Source organism: Homo sapiens, chromosome 3 (assembly GCF_000001405.40).
Source record: "Homo sapiens chromosome 3, GRCh38.p14 Primary Assembly".
In the NCBI taxonomy this organism is placed as follows: Eukaryota; Metazoa; Chordata; class Mammalia; order Primates; family Hominidae; genus Homo; species Homo sapiens.
The window spans coordinates 26,622,764-26,641,240 of record NC_000003.12 but is presented as its reverse complement, the minus strand read 5'-3'; the positions used below and the strand labels follow the sequence as shown (position 1 = coordinate 26,641,240).

The window sequence follows — 18,477 nt, the reverse complement described above, 5'->3', positions numbered from 1 at the left end:
TACTGGGGCACAGGTCCTAGTTCATCCTCATAGGTTCTAGTTTGCCCTTGCTTCTCTTCACACCAGTCCCGATTTCTTCTTCTCTGAGCCCTGCTGACCTAGAGCAACTTCAGTCCCACCACTAGCAGTAGAGGCAATACCTGCCATAGATTTCTTCACCAGCTTCCTTCACGGTCCCTACTAAGTGACTTTTTGTGCACTGCCAGACCTTTGCATTCCAAACATCTCCCACAACTGTAGAAAGTCTGTTTATTCTAGTAATAAATGTATTATTCTATGTCATTCATAAGGACTCTGCTTCCCTGTTCACACCTCAATTCATATGAAGTCTCCAGGTGTCCTTCCCTGCCTCTAGCTGTCTGGGAGAACACCAATTTGACCTTTCCTGGATCAACTCAGGATTCCCAAAGTCCTTTTTAAGCCATTTCGCCAGCTCACAGTCCAATGGATATGACTCTTGTGCTCTCCATGTCCTTCCTACACCCAGCATGCCATGCAGAACTCCACTTACAGTGCTTTATAAACACAGTTTTCCACAGGTCTCTCTTCCTCCTACAACTGCAAGCTCTCTGAGATCAGAAACAGGATCTCATGATCTATACCTTTGTATCCCAGTCCCATATTTTAAAAATAACCCTGACAGAGGGGAGGCAAAATAAATATGACATGGATTTTTAAATGTCAGTTACTGGAAAAGAGGATGAATGAGAAAGGCTGGGATTAGCAAATTCTTTATTTCTAAGCTGGGGTCTGCATAAAGCAGCGTTTTCATTTGTTTGTTTGTTTTTGTTTTTTGGGTTTTTTTTTTTTTTTTAGTTTATAAGGCATAACAATGACTTAGGGAGTTTTGGGGGTATGTTTTGTTTTGTTTTATTTTAAAGTAGATTCCTAGTGCCATGCTTTCATATATTCTGATTTGCAGACTTGGGGCAGGGCCTAGAATTCTTCAATTGAACAAGACACAGGGTGATCTCACGAAAAGAGAAGAACACAGCTTGAGGACCACTCGTAAAAAGAATATAGTGGGAGGATAGGGGTTTAGGGTAACAATTCTTAAATTAGGCTCTTTGAATCACTTAGTGGGGAGAGTAAAGGGAGTAAGAGAAACTTAACAAAAATGCAGTTTCCTAGATCCCACACCAAATCTTCATAATCAGAGGCAGAGGTGCTTTAAAAGTGATGGCTGCCTTGTGGGGCTTGGAGCAAGGAACATTCACTCCTGTGCTTTAGCTGTTTATCCATCCTGATTTGGTGTAGAGACATTAACTTCCTGTCTTCATCTAGTCACCTAAACTCACCCCTGAACCTTCTGTCTATGAAGCAGAGACCATGTGGTGTCTCTGGATATAAATAATAAATACTCATAAGGAAAGGCCTTTGGGAAGGGTCACACAAAAGGATTCTAAAGAGAAGGTGGGGAGATTTTTGGAAAAATATTAGATTAACAAAAAGACTAAACAAAGTGGTTCATAGAAAAGACAACTAAAAACTGGAAAGACAAGCAGGACTCTAACATTTCCAGTGAGTTTAAAGCCCACACGGTGCTTCTGAATTCCTCTCCAATTGTTTCTTCGTATAGTTTATACCTGTCCTGTCCATGCAGTAATCACTGGCCACATGTGGCTATTGAGCACTTGAAATGTAGCTAGTGTGACTGAGGAACTAAATATTTAAGTTTATTTAACTGTGATTAATTTAAATTTAAAGATTTAAATTTAATTTAATTTAATTTAATTTAATTTAAATTTAATTTAAATTTAAAGATTCCAATTCAGTCATTGGAAAATGTTTAAGTATGTTTGAAACAATTTAGACATATGAACCTGTTTTTTTCAACTGTAAATTTTATCAACTCTAAATATAGGTCAAGTATTTCTAATGAAAATTTAGTGTCCAAAGTGCAACATGGTGTAAGTATAAAATATAACACCAGATCTCAAAGACTTAGTCTGTAAAATTCAATACATTTTATTAGATTACAAGTCAAAACGATAATTTTGAATATACTGGGTTAAGTATATTACTGAAATTAACTATACCTTTTTCTTTTTACATGTTTAATGTAGCTACTGAAAAAAATTTTAAATTACACAAGTGGCTACCATTATATTTGTATTGAACAGTGCAGCTCTATTCAAGACTATATAGAATGGGACTATTTAATGAGGGAAAAGAGTGTTCCTCTATAAGGTATTCATTCCAGGGGATTATAAGCTGACTCCAAGGATGTTATCATTTTGGAAATGCAATCCTTTCTGAATCTCATCCCTACCTCGTCTCCACCTGCTACAAAGCAACCTTCAGGGTAGCTGATGAGCCCCTTCCAAAAAAATCCTTAGGACTTTCAAGTCCCAATCTGGTGTTCACACACCTTGATTACCTTCTTCATTCAGCAGCCTTACTTCAATTGACTTTGGCTCATTTCAAAACACCAGACCTACCCCAAAACAGTCTAAGAATGAACACTGATGACAATATTCAAAGCATTATACCACTGGTTCTCAGAGAAGACCCAACACTATTTTGAATAAAGGCAACAGCATCTCTCTCCAAAGGGACCAATTATGAAGTCAATTGCAAACTTTAGGTTGAACTATGGCATGTTTGTTAAATAAGTTAACAACCAGTAAATTACATTCTTTTTATAATCCCATCTGCAGGTCTTATTTTTCTAAGAACTGCTTTAGTTGTTATTTTCCACATCATCAGGTATTGATTCACACTTTGAGACAGAAGTTTATAACTTGAGGGTCTGACAGGTCCATGATGAGGCCATGGCTAGAATGCAAGGGATCCACAACTGTATAGGATCTTTTCTGATTTTTTTTTCCGTTGACCCTTAATTGAAATTTGGCATTTCCTTCCATTTAAAAGGCAGGCAACAGACTACACTACCTTTATAGTACCTATGACATCACCAATAAAAGTCACAACTTTTTTTTTCATATGACAATATGTTTTCTACAAATCCTGAAATTTTTTTTATATCATGACATTAAAGTCATGATAGTTAATTTCTCCTGATCATAGCACCTCATAATATATAGAAACAAGTATTGGTCAATTTTCACTTGGCAGTCATTCAGCCATGAAAGGCGGAAGATGCATTATCCCACCCTAGATATTTAGACATCTACAATGCTTTGTGGAATTCCTTATTCATACTTGTTTGTTCTTCATCAATGGAAAGAAGTCTGCCATTTAAATTAGTTGTTACAATTTTGCAAAATTGGAAAGTTCAAATGAGAATTTTTGATTCTTCATAACTTACTATTGTTGTTTGAAATATGATATACATGTAGGCTACAAGTCTAGACCAGGCAAGTTCAAACACATCTGATGGTTAAACAAAATGTTGAAATGTGTTATTCAAAGTAATTTTAAGATTATTATTGATGACACATTGGGTGATGATATTAGTCATCCATAATGTTGTAAATTCTGTGAGATTCAGTGTACTTTGTGTTATTATTGTCTTGCTCTTGGTAATCCTATGTACTTTTTTAAATTTAAAAATATCATTCTGAAAAAGGGTACATAGGTTTCACCAGACTGCCCAGGGATCTATAGTAGGAAAAATAGCTAAATCTCCTGCTCTAGGCATCCCATGACTAATCTAGGACCCTGAATATCCACGTATTACTAGAGATGGCTGCTATCCACAGAATCCACAAGTGTTTCCTAGCCCTGGACACAATGTGTCCAGACTTCCTGGTCAATTTACAACTCAGTGGAAAGAAGACCTCTTCATTGCCATCCACGTGAAGGAAAGGTAAGGTAGAGAAAAGAACATGACTTTATAAAACTAGTAATGGCACACAATTTCACCTGAGAAAGCCCTAGAAGTTGACGGTGAATTTGAGGTGGTGGAGGTTGAGAAGCAAACAACAACTTCATGGTAACTCCATAAATTACCACTAATTTTTCTAGAAACCAGTTGGTTCTTCAATATGAAAAGTGAATTATTCTTACCTGTTCCTACTGATGCCATTTCCCTCACTCAGTTGAATACAACATGAATGTACATTTAGAAACACATCCTGGCCAACACAGTGAAACCCTGTCTCTACTAAAAAATTAGCTGGGCATGGTGGTGGGCGCCTGTAATCACAGCTATTCTGGAGGCTAAGGCAGGAGGATTGCTTGAACTCGAGAGGCGGAGGTTGCAGTGAGCCGAGATCACGCCATTGCACTCCAGCCTGGGTGACAGTTAGACTCCGTCTCAAAAGAAAGAAAGAAAGAGAGAAAGAGAGAAAGAGAGAGAGAGAAAGAAAGAAAGAAAGAAAGAAAGAAAGAAAGAAAGAAAGAAAGAAAGAAAGAAAGAGAGAAAGAGAGAAAGAGAGAGAGAGAGAAAGGAAGGAAGGAAGGAAGGAAGGGAGGGAGGGAGGGAGGGAGGGAGGCAGGGAGGGAGGGAGGGAGGGAGGGAGGGAGGGAAAGAAAGACTACAGCACTCTCCAGTTAAAAAGAAAGCTATATGGGCTTTCCACACTAAACCCAGGCTGGGCAGAAGAAATTGATGCATATTGGAGGCCCATATTTTTCAGCACTGTTGTCCTAACATTTAGAAACACCCCTGGCATAAAAACAACACTGTAGCTTTTAGAAATTGTGTCCTGTTTTTTTTTTACACTAAAAAATGAGATTTAGCCCACAATTTAATATTGTCAATACATACTCTTCATTACACAACTGGCACGCCAACTGTTACCTAAGCACTTCAGACTCTTCAAATCCCACACCCACACATTCTGAACTCATCTGCATCCAGATATGAATAAAGATGAATAGCATCTTGAGGAAATTGCTTCTCCATTCTCAAATGGCAAAAGCCATGGAGTATACTCCTCATAGTGTCTAAGGAATTTCTAAGAGCAACAAGAAAGCATCCTAAAGTCACCATTTTGTAAAAAAAAATCACATCCTTCTATGGCAACCTGCCCACTGGGGATTTCAAATTAAAAGGCACCTTAGAATTCCCTTCCTGTAATTCTCTCTCTTTTTTTTAAAGGACTTCTTTATTTTACTAAACTCAAGTTAATTAGGTTTTGGCAGGTCAGCAGCTCCACTCAGCATCTCTTTATAGGGAATGGTTCTAAGAGATCTTGATGAAATTGCAAATGCTTAGAAACAGTCACTTGCTTGCATCCTGGGTAAATAGGAAAGCATGCTGACTGTATTTATTTTTGTATCATTATATCACCGTGGGGTGAGCTAGTAAAAAAAAGTAGAGGTTGCTAATATTTTGGGGTGTGTGTATGTGTGTGTATGCGCATCCTAAAATAATTTATTTTTTCTTAATCTCAAACCATTATTCCATGATTGCAAGAAGTCCCCAACACTAGAATAAATTGTTCACTAAATGTTTATTTATAAATTGGATATTTTTCACTTAAATCATTAGTGTTCATTGATTCATTAAACAGACAGTTACTGAGTGCCAATTATGTGCCAGGCTGGTGGTATACACAGATGCAAAAGCGAGGTCCATTTTTATCCCAAGAGATGCTTACAAGGTGACTAGATGCCCAGGCTAACCTACATTAGTTTCTTGTCTTAGCTAGGGCTGCCATAACAAATTGCCATAGACTGGTTGGCTTAAACAACAGGAATTCATTTCTCACAGTTCTGGAGAAGATACCAGCAGGGTTGATGCCTGGTGTAGGCTCTTTCCTTGGGTTGCAGACAGCCGCCTTCTCACTGTGTCCTCACATGGCCTTTCCTTGGTGTGTGCAGGCAGAGAGAGAGAGAGGAAGCATGCTTTCTGTTGTCTTTTCTTGTAAGAACACTAATCTCATGTTGAGGACCCCACCTTCATGACTTCATCTAGATCTAATTACTTCCCAAAGGCCCTATCTCCAAATACCATCACATTGGGGGTTAGGACTTTGATACCTCCTTAATAGCAAATGTGGTATTTCATCTATAATATTAGTTCAGTAGACCAAGGTGTCTCAAATCCACCTCAGAGGAGAGGAACCTTGGCTCCTCTGGGACTCCTGCAGTGGCTCAGGGGATAGGGCTCCAGAAACTGGCAGGAAATGGGAGCTATAGAGGCATCAGACACTGCAGTCCTGAGGTCCAGGTGGCTTGAGGCTCAGAGGAGACTAAAACACATTCTGAGGCTCAGGTCAGTTCCAGAAGCAGAGGTAGTAAAATTTCTGCAGTGGAGCCAAAACTCATAATGAATGTGCTTCTGTAAGTTAGGTATCCTTATTTCAAGGTCTGCCTGTATCTTTGAAGCTTCTCATGATCATGTTCGATCAGGCAATACAACAAAACAAATAAAGATAACACAGATCAGACAACGCCAACATTCAACGTATTATAATAGCCTGGAGTTTTTGCAAAGCTGCAATTACAGAGAGCTTTTAACCAGGCCCAATGAAGCAAGCTGGGTACATATCCAACTCTCAGCAGCGTCAAAGCCAACATCCACCAAGCTCAGCCCCTCAACCAGAAATAATTTGACTTTTATAGGGTTTGATCATTTCCTTAAAAGCCTTTATGATCAAAGCCAACCTGGAATGGAAAGGGATCAAAAGATGGGAAATTACGCAAATGCAAGTGCAGATTTTGACATAATCCCTACTAACAAGTAGTGCAGCAGATTCTTTTTCAGAGAATCCTCCCCCCATCTCAAGGGAACAGCCAACACACACCATGTCGAGGTGAATTGAACCTTTTCCCTGTCACCCTGAATCCATGCAGAATCAATAAATAACTCTTAGCTGGATCTTTGACACACAGACATTCAAAATGGAATGTCAAGCTCCTTGTGATGTTTTTAACAGAATAAAGGGGAAAACTACACCTACGTTTTTCTTCCCCCATCTATTGTTAAAATTAACAAGGCAGGTGAGGACATTCAGGTATCTTTGGGTGACTTAAACCATGCGTAGGGCGGTACTGAGTGTATGGCTCTGCCACAGCATGCTAGGACCCAGGAAGAATTCTAACACTTGTCTGATTCTTTGCAAGGGTTTTCATCTCCATCATCCAAAAAGCTCCTCACAGCAAGGCATGAAAGACAAGAAATATAGCCATCTGGCAGAAAACCAAGGCTCAGAGAGCTGAAGAAACTCTCACCTGTGGTCAACAGCTAATGGCAGAATCATATTCAAAATAAGAAATTTCAATTGCAGAGCTTATCATCTTTAACCAAGCTTGGCAACCCAGGGCTCCACTTTGCTGTGGAAAGCTGAATATAGCCTGCATATGTGTTTTATTTTGTTTTGTTTTATTTTGTTTTTAATTTAATTAGTTCTACCATGTTTTAATTGAATTAGTTCTACAAAACATTAGGAGCTTACACATAAAAATATGGATTTCTGACACTTTTTGGAAAACCCAAAGTTCCCTATATTGGTGCAGGCAACAGGAAAATTTTAAAAAAAGGACTAAAAGGAAACTGCAGCTCACTCCCTGGAAGATCTTGCCATAACCCAGAGCTGATCAAAGATGTCCTCTGTCTGTGACCTCATGCTCAGCTGCATAAAACCCTAACAAGTCATTATTCTGTTCCCTTTTCCTGTGTCTGTGCTTTCCCTCCTCCTGGGATATTCCTATCTGTCTTATCAATTTTGTGGGTATATGTAATCATCTTCCAGGATTCGGTTCAAATGTCCCTGGTTCCATGAAAAATTGACCATGAAGTCAATTCTGATACCCCTGGAATAACCAGGCTTTGTTCAGGGTTCTTGAACATTTTCTTATGCTTGTTTTACAAACCTGTTTTCATATGTGCATATTCAGTGCTGAGTACACTGTAAGCAATCAATAATATTTTGTTCTATACTAATAATAATAACTTAAGTAGTACTTCTCATGTGCCAGATACTGTTAAAAAGCACCTTGTTCATGTTAATTCATTTAAGCCTCACAACTACCTATTATTATACCCATTTCACATAGAGAAAACTGAGGCATACTAAAGGTTAGAAAAATTTCCCACAGTCACTCACTCAGCTATTAAATGGCCGACTAATTAGAACTTAGTCGGGCTACCTTTGGATGAATGGGTGGATGGGTAGGTGGATGAATAATTAGATGGAAGAAAGGGAGAGAGAGAGAAGAAGAGAAAGGAAGAAGAGAGGGGAGGACAGATAAACTGTCAGCAATAGGGAATGGCAGTGGAGGCAGATGTGAAAGAGCGCTTTCTGTTGCAGGAACATCAAGTCTTTTGGTGGGGCAGGGGCAGTGGTATATGCTTGTAAACTCTACAACCAGCTTTCTAGGGGAAAATGCTTGCTTTGTAGTATAAATAGTGGTGTAAATCCTCCTACCATGGCTGATTTCATGATGCCAACACAATATCTGATCACAGAGTTGGAGAGAAAAAATGTGGACAATCGTCAGCACAGGCCAGTTCGAACACACCAGAGCACAGGGTATGCCAAGGAAAATGGCAGGTAAAGCGACAGGTAACAGCCAGGTGACAAAGGACTGTGGAGGCCAAAGCAACTCCATCTTGGATGCTAATCCACCATGTTGACTTCTGATTAACTTCAGTTCCTGGAAGGCCTCTAAGATTTCCCACTTATCTAATGTTCCTTGTGTAAGAACAGGTACTTACTTACTATAAATCCTGCCCTTAGGTCAAACAAACTTGATGTTACCCTACTTCAATAGTTCTACAAATCCTTTCTGAATCACCCCTTTCCTACCATATATAAACCCTGGGTCTAGGGGGTAACGGCTCGGGGATCCACCATCTTGTCTCGCCATCGCCCGAGATACAGATATGGCTTCTGTTCAGAAGTCCCAATTATAGGTTTCTTTCTGATAAACTAGATTTGTCAGCCTCTTTCTTCAGCCTCTCAGCTTCCTTGAACTTTGAGATAGGTTTGCATAGACCTGCCCATTGCTAAACAAGGATCTATTAAGCCATACTAAGGATGTAATCCTCTTATATGCAAGCAGGAGTGATTTAAAGGTTTTTAGCAGAGAGTAATATGATCATATGGTTATAAAGAGTTGGACACAAGATGGGCACATAGTCAAAATCTTAGGAACCTTCTTCATCTTCCAACATCTTGCCCGCATGGCAATTATTGCTGCAAGAAAAGTTATTAATTGTTTCACCCCTTTGTACCTTGTCCCTTTACCAGTCAGCTATTGCTCTTTTTGTGTCACTCCCCCTCATCCTTTTATTGTAGGCTCCCAGAAGTGCTCCAGATGTAACAGACCCTCAGGACTGCAGAGTGTCCATCTATCATTGTTGGATCTGTAACATATAAGGGCTGGAAGCCCTAAGCAAAGAAATGAGTCTGAGTCAACTTAAACAGAGAAGACATCATATGGAGTAAAAATAAAACAATGTCAGACACATCCTTGACATTATAAACCCATATAACTGAAAGGGATTTTAGAAACCATTTAACTCCTAATTTCCCTCTTACGGGGGAAGTAGAGCCCAGAACATTTGATGTAACCAGCCCAGTGCCACAGAGATGGTTAGAGTCAAAGCTGGAACTAGAACTAGGTTGCCTGGTTCCCAAATAGTCTATGTGCACAAAAAGAGGGCATTTTCTGAGATGTTGCCACCCCTACAAGGTCAAAGCCTTTCTTAGAAGAGTTTTCTTCTTCTACTAAGCAGGTTCTATTTCATCAAATAGAACAAACAAAAACATGCTAATTTCCAAGACAGGGACATTCTGTTATCTTCTCCCAACACTGGATAACATGAGCCATCTGTTTAGGAAACACTCCATGACCACAGTTCCCTCTTTATCACTTAGGGCCTTATTATCTACTTTAAAAATTCTTCAGATCCTGACCTTTTCCCATGGTTCTCCATCTACCTGCCTGTGCCAAAGCCATTTCCTGATAACTGGGAAGTGGGAAGGGAAACGAAGTGAATCTTTAAAAACTATTTTGGCAAGTCTACTTAAGAGAAATTGTTGGAGGGGAAGTTGAAACTTTTGGCTGAAATGCAATGTAGTCTGATAATTCACCCTCATTTCAGGTGATATTGGCCAAGGCTACAGTGAACCTAGCCAAGGGGGCCACTGGGAGCTAAAACACAAGCGAATGTTCATCGGGCCAGGATCCAGGAGGCTATTGCTTCTCCAAGGAGGCACATTTTTCATTTCTCACAAAGGCATCCCATATCTTGGTTGTGGCCCTGATAAAGGATCCTTTTCCAGCTGAAGGTCTTCTCTACTTTCCAATACCAGTATCCACAGTCTTGATCCCTAAGAACAGAGCAGAAAAAGCCAATTCCCTGAGCCAGAGAAGTGAAAACTGGTCTGGGGAGGAAGATCCCAAAGTGCTAACACAGCTAGAAGATCCCAGAGAGCTAAAGCAGCTGTATTACCATTTGCCCGGGCCTGTCCTGATTTATACCTACTGTCTTGGAAAAACAACTGAGAGCCCTTTCATTCTCCAAAGTGTCCCAGTGGGAAATGATAAATTTTATGGTTACCATTGTCTGCAGTTCTTGGGGTTAGAGACCTCCAAGGCATCTACCAATAGAATTCAAGGCATCCACCAATAGAATTCAAGGCATCCATGAACTTGCATGGAAAAAAAAGTCGCAACTTTGTTTGTGAAGCTTAAATGGCAATGTACCATCTCATTCCCATTTGAACACAGGCCATAAACCTCAATAGTAGCCATACTAGTGATTATGTCACCAATATAAATATTTTCATATCACAATACAGCTGCCACAGTTATCTCATAGTAGCATTTATGCCCATTCCTACTTCGAAACAATAGTAGCCACTAGTCCCACTACAAGATCTTGTTATAGAGGCATTATTATGTAAGAGGCACATATATTAGTAACAGTGGTTTCTTTTATAAGTCGATAAACAGATATTTCAATAAAATTGGTTTGTGCTATAATCTTATGTATTATATTTTATGCATTTAAACACCATTCCAGGGCCCGCAGGCTTTGTCAGACTGTCAAAGGGCACTATGGAGTAAATCAGAGTAGAAGACCTTGGCCTGGAGATTGATAAAGCCACATTAATGTGGCACTCTGATATGTGAGAAAGAGACCTTGCCCTCTGGCTGGGGAGCTAGGCTGCCTTTGAACTGATCTATGCTATGAGGTATTATTTAGTACATTCCTCTTCCTTATAAGCCCTCTTCTTTCAGTCTTTATTACTCCCATTCTCTTTTTTTTGTCTTCTCTTATTCTTATGGGATTTTTTTTTCCCCTTATCCTTTGGTTTAGGTTTACTATCAGATATCTCTTAGTCTTACTGTGCTAAGTATTGGGTTCTCTTCCTTTGGATAGATTTTTTTTTTTTTTTTTTTTGCCATGCTTCTCTTACACCTCTTTCTCTCCTGCCCCCACCTTTCCCACCTTTCTCTGCTGTTGTCTGCTGCCAATTGCTTGGCCCTCCTGACTTGGCTGGCCACACACCATACCCCTTTCACAGGTTTTGTAGCAGAAACATTGGGTATCAACAGTCCACAGTACATCTTCCCTTTGGGAATCATTTTCAGTTTACTAACAGACACTGTTTCTGAGCCACAGTTAAAATAACAAACTAGCCACCCCAATAAAAAACCACACAACACATAGCAGCAGGAAAATAAAAACTTTGAAACCCTAAGCTTAAATATAATTGTGGAAAGGGTGAAAAGTATTCCACTTAATAATCCCTGATGGCCAGACATCTAGAGAAGATCAGCAGCCTGGACCAGGACTCTTCTCAGTGTATAAATTCCCAGTGCAGCATAGGGAAAGCATACTGCTTAGTCACCGCTAACAGGGGGAGCCCTCTGTAGCAGGCCTATACAATGATTATTTCTCCAAATCAGAGCTCAGGTTAGAAGACTCAGGGGAAAGCCATGAGACCTCATGACCTTTGTGCTTTAGCTTTAGAGAACTATGCACTGTGCCTTCAGCACTGTCCTCGCCAGAGGACGTATTTGTCCTGAAATATTATAGCAGTCTCTCCCAGTAAGTTACTGAATACTTCTTCTATCAATGACCTAAAATTGGAAGGAAGAAGGGAAGAAAGGAAGAAAGGAAGGAAGGGAGGAAGAGTGGGAGGGAGTGAGGGAGGGAAGGAAGGAAGGACGCAGGGAGGGAGGGGGAGGGGTAGAGGAGGAAAAGAGAATAAAAGGAAACTAATCTGTATTTGAAAACATACTTACCACTTTGTCAAATATTACTCCATGGTTGAGAATAGCTTCACATTTTTAAATAATATTTGTTTCCATTTTATTTCTAATAAAAGGCACCTAAAGCATTTTTTAAACTGTCTGAAAAGGTAGTGACATTTGCACTGGACAAGTATTAACATAAAAGGTAGCTTAGAGAGCTTAGGATCAAATGAAACTGTAAATTTCATAACCTTTCCTAATCTGTTCATTTATCCTCCTAAAGAATAAAATCTGTTTTTATTTGTGGAGGATTTTTTTTTTTTTTTTTTAGTATTTACTCATTTATCTATTTTGAAAGAACTAAATGGCCCTTACTATTAACTTACCACCTGTGGTGGAGAAATAGTATGTTCAAGCCTATCAGCTTTTGAGAAGATTCCAGATTTCATTCTCATATGAAATGGCCATTTCATATGTCATTATCATGTTGAGATGTATTAATTCACTAAGTTTTTATAAAGTATATGTAGATATATACTAACATCTCAGAGCTTCCATCATGGCTCCAAACCATTTATCAAATAAAGTTCATCAAAGTCACAATCTTCAGATAATAAAATGAATACAAAATTTATTAATCTTATGGATTATTCAAATCTAAATATAGATTAAGATATTTTATATTTTTTTAAATAAAATCAATAAGGGTAAAGCTTCTCAGGTCCTACTCTGAGCTTTTTTTTTTTTTTTTCCAGTATCTTCTTCAAACTCTTTCTACAGAACCTTATTATTTAGCTTCTCTTGCTATTAAAATTAATCAAGATCAGATATTCCGAATCTTGATTATTTTTTTTCAAATATCTTACCCAAGACTTTTAACTCATACTATGTATTGTATAAACATATCTATTCATTGTGTTCTGAATAAAAGTTTTTATTTTTCCATATCCTTTGTCTTAGAGCATATTGCTTAATAATAATTGTTATTCTAAATGTCAATGAACTCATATTTATATGATTTAAGATAAAGGTACACCCCAAAGAATCTCCCCAGCAGACGTGTCATGTGGGACTTTTGATATTGCACCACCTAGCAGCCACAGTAAAATAAGTAGAGGGGATTGGACCACATAAGTAAGATGAGGATAGAGCTCCCCTGAATAAACTGGGAATTGGAAACCAGAATGTCTGCCCAGGTTCCAAAGGATTCCCCTTCCTGTGGTTCCTAGGACATAGACCATTTCTTTTGGATATTGTCACACTTAACTTCAGTGTTATGTCTCTTTTCTTTAACACTGCTGCAACTCAACTAAGCCGGTATCCCCACCTCCAGAAGGTCACCCTTCTGGATGATCTGGTTTTGAATGGCTCTTCCTGAAGAGTGGGGCAGCTGTGCAAGTTTTTCCTACTTGCATAAAAACAAAATTGACTTCTAATGAATTCTCCGGAAAATGAATGCTTCTCCTTGAGATAACTGGGGTCTTGGGGATTCAGAACAGTCAACCTGACACAAAACGCAGACTGAGGTCGAGGGTAGGAAAAAAAGGAAGAGGAGGAGCAGCTCTTAGTGCACGTTGGCTCTCTGTGGGCATTTTGGTCACACTTGGGTGCCTCAGCAGCCAAGCCTCACCTCCATCTTCCTCCACCTCATCCCTCCTCTGACAATATTGTTGCCTCACTCTCTTCTTTTCTTCCTCCACTATAGGATGGCCTAGGTCCTCACTATAGGATGGCCTAGGTCCTAGTGTGCCACAGCATTAGAGATGGAAATCCTATTCCAGGTGACCTAAAAGGCACCAGGTTTCCACTATCTGTCTATGACTCTTGCCCCGCTGATCTGATTCTGAAAAACAGGATTCTTCTATCCCTCCTCCCTGTTTACCCTGGCTGACTTTTTGTTGGTTTGTCTCCAAGGGGAGGACATCCTGGTACTACAGCTACAGAGAAAAGACATGAGGTGTTCTTGGAAACTAGAACTTTGTCCCACAAAAACGCTTAAAGGTATATGAAATCCTCAAGTGACTGCAGAAAGTCCCCTTTGTTGAAGGGGCCAGGTAGGCGAGGAAGTGGCAAATATTATCGGAAGTGACAAAGAACTATTTTTCCTCTTTCTGAGCCCCAAGTACAGAAATATATTGTTTTGCCTCAGCTTTACATCAGCATAAACTTTAATGAAAAGTCAAGAATCCAGGAGAAATCCAAGAATTTATGCCACTGTATTCAAAAGAATGTTTCCTGTGATAGGAAAAATTCCCTGTTATTTTCACAAATACCTGGGAGTGCAGAAGGATGAAGCAACTCAATCTAACAGAAGACTGCTAAAATCATTAGAAATCATTTAATCTTATTTAGAATCATCCAGAGGTTTGCATAGTTAATTTTTGTTGATTTGAAGGCTTACAAATATTCTGCAATGTTTTATTTTTGCAAAAAGAGTCACATTTGTGGTAGCTTATTCATTATATATGATATAGAGTTTTTCTGGTTATGCTGATTGAGAAGCATTTATACGAAAATAAGCAAAACAGTCTTTTTAAAAATAAAAAGCCTTTTCCTAATTAATTTTAAGATGTTAAAAAAACAGCAGGAGTGAGCATAATTTATTTATGTATAATGGTACCATATTTGAGCAAGGGTCAAAAGGCAGTGGTTCCAGCATTAGTTATGCTACAAATGCACCAAATGGCCTTGAGCTCAGCATTGAATCTCCTCCCTGAGTCTGGATTGGGTGGGATAATATCTGAGATCCCTCTTAGCTCTAACTAATTATGTGACTCAATTCAGAGAGAGGCTTTCATTTGCAGAATACAACTGCTACATAAAACTGCCTCTAGTTTTTGACTACAGAGCAAATCTCTGTTCATATTTGGATCCCTCCTTCCATTTACCTTCCTATTTAAAAAGGGAATGTCTACAAAAGGTTCAGAAGAGAAGTCCATTACCAGTAGCCAGTTCTCCAAATCGATTTCCTCTACTAGTATTCCACTATACCAAGGTGTACCCCAACAAACTTTGAGACAGGCGATATGTAACATCAGTCTCCCTAATACTCTAGTCACAGGGGCTCACAGGCCAGGACTGGCACTTATAGTACGCCGCTGCAGTTTGGAGTAAAGGGTGAGGGGCCTCACTCATGCTTCCTTCCAGACAAATGGTTTTTAGTACCAAATAGGGCTGGGAGTATGGGACACACTCAGTGTTCTCTGATCACCAGACCACTCAGCCCCACCATTTCCTGGCTGAATGTCAATAAGCAAATAACTTGAATTCTTCAATACTGGGTTTCTCCATCTATAACATGAGATAAATAACTCTACCCATTTTTCAGGGTTGTTGTGAGGGTTAAATCTAACACAAACACACACAACATCAAAGATAGTGTCTGGCACATAGTAAGAACTCCACAACTGCTAGCTAGCACTGATTGTTACATTACTATTTGTCTCCCCAGAACAGTTCAGCAACCTGAAATAAATCCACCTTGGTGTGGATTTGGAGTCTTTCCTCAAGTTGCCAAGGAACATGGTCTAATTTGTTTCTACATGCAAAAAGAAGTGGCCAGAGCGCAAATTCAGGCGATAGATAAGCACCCAGAAAGAAATGAGCCTTGGGGGGGTCAGAGCTAAATCTCGTGGAGTGCGAGTTTCAAGTCTAGGATCCTACCTCAGGTATCCAGGTACTTCTGAAGAAGCCCGGCTCTCTCACCAGGCCTGGTCTGTGAGGGTGTGGCCTTTGTGCTCAGGAGCTGCACCAGGAGCCTGCGCACAGGGAATCCCCGTTCTGCTCCTTGGGGCTCTGGAGTTTGCCACCGCTAGGCAGGGAGCTAGCTGCTCCAGGGGTGCCCCAGAATGGGAGGGACTGACCTCGGGATTTCTCCCGGGAGCCCTGGCGAGTCGACGTTTCCTCCGATGTGGCCAAGGCGAGGGACCCAGAAAAAGGAACTGCTCTGAATTTTGCTTTTTCCCAACTGGTACAAGGCAGCAGGAGTCCTCTGTAGGGCACCCGCGGAGAAAGTAAGAAAAGCCTGCACGTGGAAGGTCTGAACAGGGAGGACCTAAAGGTTGTACAGGGTTCCAAACCCACCCAACCTCCAAATGTTTCCCTATAGGGCTACTAGGAACCAGGGATCCACTCTCAGCCAAAGGCACCTCTGGGAGAGGAGCATGCACCTCCTCAGGGAGAGAAGGGTTAAGTGAGGTGCTTACTGGCCTTGGCAGTCACTGTGCCCCCACCAGGAAATAGGGGGCTTGATGGATAAAAGGGAGGGGAGGCTGCCTCTTCGAAACAGCCGACTAAGCCCCCTCCCGCAAACGGTCTTGCACTCCAGATTGCTGGGGTGCAAAGGAGAAAAGAGCCTCCCCCTCCTGCATTCGCCAGAGCATCTGGAGCCACAAGAAGAATCTACCTGGGAGCTGCAAGGTGGGCAGATCCACCTCTGTCTGGGCTCCCAGGTCTAAGAGCTGGGTCTCCCCTCACCCGAGGCCCACACCTCCTAGCTCTGCGTTTCCCTGCACGCCCTCCAGCTCTGCGCTCCCCAGCCTCCCGGGCGCAGCACAGGGCTCCCCCCACTCCCTCGCTCCGCCCAGGTGCGATTTGTGGAGGGGCGGGGGAAAGTGGCTCCCACCGCAGCCTCCGCTCCTGCGCTCTCCTCCAACCACTTTGGACCCCTGTTTACTCGCCGCGCGCTGGGGACTCCCCTCTACCCCGCACACACGTCTCCCCCTGGGAGGCAGGAGTCCCCTTCCTACACTGCGGCTGTGGAAACATCCTTGACTCCTGAGTGCCTGGCAGGGAAGGTGGGCGTGGGTCTACCGACCTGGCTGCAGAGGTGAAGGAGCGTAGAAGCAAGCGGGTGCCAGAGAAGAGAGCAGACTATGGTCCTCTTAGAGCTTGGAGAAGCATCCCTAGTCCACGATCTGACCATTCAGTCACCACCCAAGATGCCAACGCATTCAGATTCTCGCGGGGAGGTTTGTTTGCTTCTGGGGAGGAAGATCGCCCCATCCCAGGCACTCAGCAGCCTGCCTTCCCAAGTACCCAAGGGCCCGGCATTCCGGGGCTCCATTCCTTGTCTCCACGCGCCCCCAGGTACCCAGCCCCTCCCCCATCTGTATTTACATACCCAGGCCAGCGCCCTCCGGACTCAAATCCCTTTTCCTCTTCGTCAGATGGCCTCTCAGGGCTGGCCGCTCGCCCACATTAGCAGTACCTTTTCATTTCCCTCAACCGTGGGCAGATCTACCCGACCCTCAGCTTCCTCCTCCACCGCACGAGCAGCCTTTCCCTCCCTGAGCCACTTACTTCACCCACCCATATCTGCACTTGCAGTTCCCACGGCGCACAGCCGCAAGCCACTCCAAAGGTTTCATTGCCGAGTTGGGGGTGGCGTGTGCAAGGATGGACTGACTCCCATCGCGCTGGACGAAGCTTCAGGGGTGGCCGCAGCCATCCTCCATGTCCCACCTCTCTTATTTCACCTTCTCTGTCCCTACCCAGCTCCTAGAGGCAGGACGAGCACTGCTGGGTCCCAAACCCTCGCCTCAGGAGCCAGAGCTGCGGGGAGTGAAAAGTCGACTGGCAAGAACACACAGAGAGAAATGGGCAGATGCATATGGCAAGAGGGGCTGGGGGAAGGGCAAGAACTAAACCTGCAAGTTGCACAGCACGGGGTGAGCACCGCGCAGGGAAGGGGTCACAAAAGTTTGCAGACTATTGTATAGCAGCCGGCTGAACAGGAGCGAAGAGGGTCGACTCTCTCTCTCCAGGAGGAGGTCTCTCCCAGGGTCTGCGCAAAAGGGATCAGGGAGGCTTAGACAGGCACGGCTTAGAACTGGTGTAATAGTTCTCCTCTACTTGTTCCTTGGAGGGACGGCCTAGGTACCCGGGCAGAGGGATGATCCCGCGCTCTGCGAAAAGCAACAGGCGGCTGCACCTTACCTTGCGCCAGTCCCGGGCCGGGGTGGCTGCTCCATCCTCGTGGCTCAGGGAGGAGGCGTTGGGTGCGTATGCTTAGGGGTGTGCCCGCTGCCAGGGCTGCAGCGGCCGCCACCTCCAACCAGCTGCAAGCCGAGCTGCCCACCTGGGACCGGGCCGGCCCGGCGGGCTTGGCTCCCGGCGAAGGCGGCGGCGTTGGTGCGCGGCGGCTGGGGCGCGGGACGCAGGCAGTGCGTGGCGCGGCTGGCGTCTTCGGGCGCCGCCACCGAGCGAGGGTGCGGCCCCGGGCGGCCGTGCGGGGCACGACTTGGCTCGCGTTGCTGCGGCGGCCGCTGCAGACCCTGCTCCAGGCGCCGTAGCCTTGCAGGAAGAGCAGACAAAGACAGGAGAGAGGCAAAGCGCCGCTTGCCCAGAGATGCAGTCGGCTCAGTCAATAGAGGGAAATCGCCTCCAAACCCAGGCTGGGAATGAGGGAGG

At 42.7% G+C, this 18,477-nt stretch overlaps 1 protein-coding gene across 6 annotated transcripts in view, besides 1 other annotated feature; it reads right to left on the bottom strand.

The window, feature by feature from the left end:
- LRRC3B (leucine rich repeat containing 3B) overlaps window positions 1-18,469 on the bottom strand; it is an 88,005-nt gene extending 69,536 nt beyond the window's left edge. The window contains exons 1-2 of one of the 6 annotated variants that reach the window (NM_001317810.3): window positions 16,472-16,595; window positions 15,730-16,057 (exon numbers count right to left, since the gene is read on the bottom strand). The gene's annotated coding sequence lies outside the window, so the exon portion shown is untranslated. Of the gene's footprint in view, window positions 1-15,729; window positions 16,596-16,882; window positions 17,161-17,188; window positions 17,643-18,003 lie in introns of those variants that run through there. The other 5 variants (NM_052953.4, NM_001395646.1, NM_001317808.2 and 2 more) reach the window with 5 other exon arrangements.
- Window positions 16,058-17,027: an enhancer, noted in NCBI's record as "H3K4me1 hESC enhancer chr3:26665705-26666674 (GRCh37/hg19 assembly coordinates)". NCBI's record gives its function as "activates a minimal SCP1, AML or CMV promoter by ChIP-STARR-seq in naive H9 embryonic stem cells {active_cell/tissue: H9 hESC(naive)}" and the evidence as "EXISTENCE:reporter gene assay evidence [ECO:0000049][PMID:30033119]".
- Window positions 18,470-18,477: the final 8 nt, after the last annotated feature.